The sequence below is a fragment of the Homo sapiens genome, chromosome 14, assembly GCF_000001405.40.
Source record: "Homo sapiens chromosome 14, GRCh38.p14 Primary Assembly".
NCBI lineage: Eukaryota > Metazoa > Chordata > Mammalia > Primates > Hominidae > Homo > Homo sapiens.
Genome location: NC_000014.9, coordinates 19,041,827 through 19,043,585, shown reverse-complemented (window position 1 = coordinate 19,043,585; position 1,759 = coordinate 19,041,827). Strand labels below are relative to the sequence as shown.

Genomic DNA, 1,759 nt, shown 5'->3' with positions numbered 1-1,759 from the left:
CTGGAGGCATCCTTTCCTGCCTCTGTCTTGGGGTCAGTCTGCCTTCGCAGGCTCTTGCAGCACACCTGGGTCTGCTGCACTTTCCCTTATTACATAATTTTGTGACTAATGTCAGCTCTTTCTGTTAGATTCTAAGCTCCACTAGGGAAGAAATTCTGTGCATTTTTGATCACTATTGAACCCTGGAGTCTACCACTCAAATACTTGTCAAATGAGTAAATGGTAGCTCTGTGCAGGGCCAAGGAACCCAAGAACCACAAGAAATAATCTGCCAAAATAGTCATTACAGCTCACTCTCCTCTGGTGACATTTCCCTGAGGCACATTGCTGTTGGTTTCTTCCCCTCAAGAAGCATTCTTCTTTCTCCTTCCTATAAAAGCCAGGTTTTTCTCAGATAGCCACACCATGCCCCATGCAAAGAGATTTGGATTATTATACCATCTTGAAGCATTTCTGTGGAAACTGCTATCAGCCAGGTGGCCCATGACCTAAGTTGACCCAAGCCGACTGAAGGGAGGATGTATTCTATGCACCGTATGGAATTCCACAGGGTGCTGGTTTCCCCAGCTGCTGCTGGTGGTCATCATGTAGTGAAGATATTTCTTTTTTCAGCATAGGCCTCAAAGGGTTCCAAATATCCACTTGCAGATTCTACAAAAAGACGGTTTCCAAACTGCTCAATCAAAAGAAAGTTTCAACTCTGTGAGAAGAAAGCACACATCACAAAGAAGTTTCTCAGAAAGTTTCTGTCTAGTTTTCATGTGAAGATGTTTCCTCTTTCCCCTTAGGCCTCAATGGGCTAACAAATATCCCTTTGCAGATTCTACAAAACGACGGTTTCCAAACTGCTCAATCAAAAGAAATGTTCAATTCTGTGAGATGAATGCACACATCACAAAGAAGTTTCTCAGAATGCTTCTGTCTAGTTTTTATGTGAAGATATTCCCTTTTCCACCACAGGCCTCAAAGCGCTCCAAATATCCACTCGCGGTTTCTGCAAAAAGAGTGTTTCAAAACTTCTCAATCAAAAGAAAGGTTCAACTCTGTGAGATGAATGCACACATCACAACGAAGTTTCTCAGAATGCTTCTGTCTAGTTTTTACGTGAAGATATTTCCTTTTCCACCATAGGCCTCAAAGCACTCCAATTATCCACTTGCAGATTCTACAAAAAGAGTGTTTCAAAACTGCTCAATCAAAAGAAAGCTTCAACTCTGTGAGATGAATGCACACATCACAACGAAGTTTCTCAGAATGCTTCTGTCTAGTTTTTAAGTAAAGATATTTCCTTTTTCACCATAGGCCTCAAAGTGCTCCAAATATCCATTTGCAGATACTACAAAAAGACTGTTTCCAAACTGCTCAATCAAAAGAAAGGTTCAACTCTGTGAGATGAAAGCACATATCACAAAGAAGTTTCCCAGAAAGTTTCTGTCTAGTTTTTATGTGAAGATATTTCCTATTGCCCCATTGGCCACAATGGTCTCACAAATATCCCTTTGCAGATTCTACTAAACCACTGTTTACAAACTGCTCAATCAAAAGAAATATTCAACTCTGTGAGATGAAAGCACACATCACAAAGAAGTTTCTCAGAATGTCATGTAACCAAGGTATTGCTAGTGCTTATGGAGAAAATAGAGCAAGTGGAGAGAAACTGAGTAGGTAAAAGTGGACAGGGCTTGGTGATGTTTGGGATATGAGGGATAAGACAGAGGATGGTCTTAGGAAAATCTCCTGTTCTTTCTTTTTGGACAAT

At 40.8% G+C, this 1,759-nt stretch overlaps 1 annotated feature.

The window, feature by feature from the left end:
- Nucleotides 879-1,455: an enhancer, noted in NCBI's record as "OCT4-NANOG hESC enhancer chr14:19944999-19945575 (GRCh37/hg19 assembly coordinates)". NCBI's record gives its function as "activates a minimal SCP1, AML or CMV promoter by ChIP-STARR-seq in primed H9 embryonic stem cells {active_cell/tissue: H9 hESC(primed)}" and the evidence as "EXISTENCE:reporter gene assay evidence [ECO:0000049][PMID:30033119]".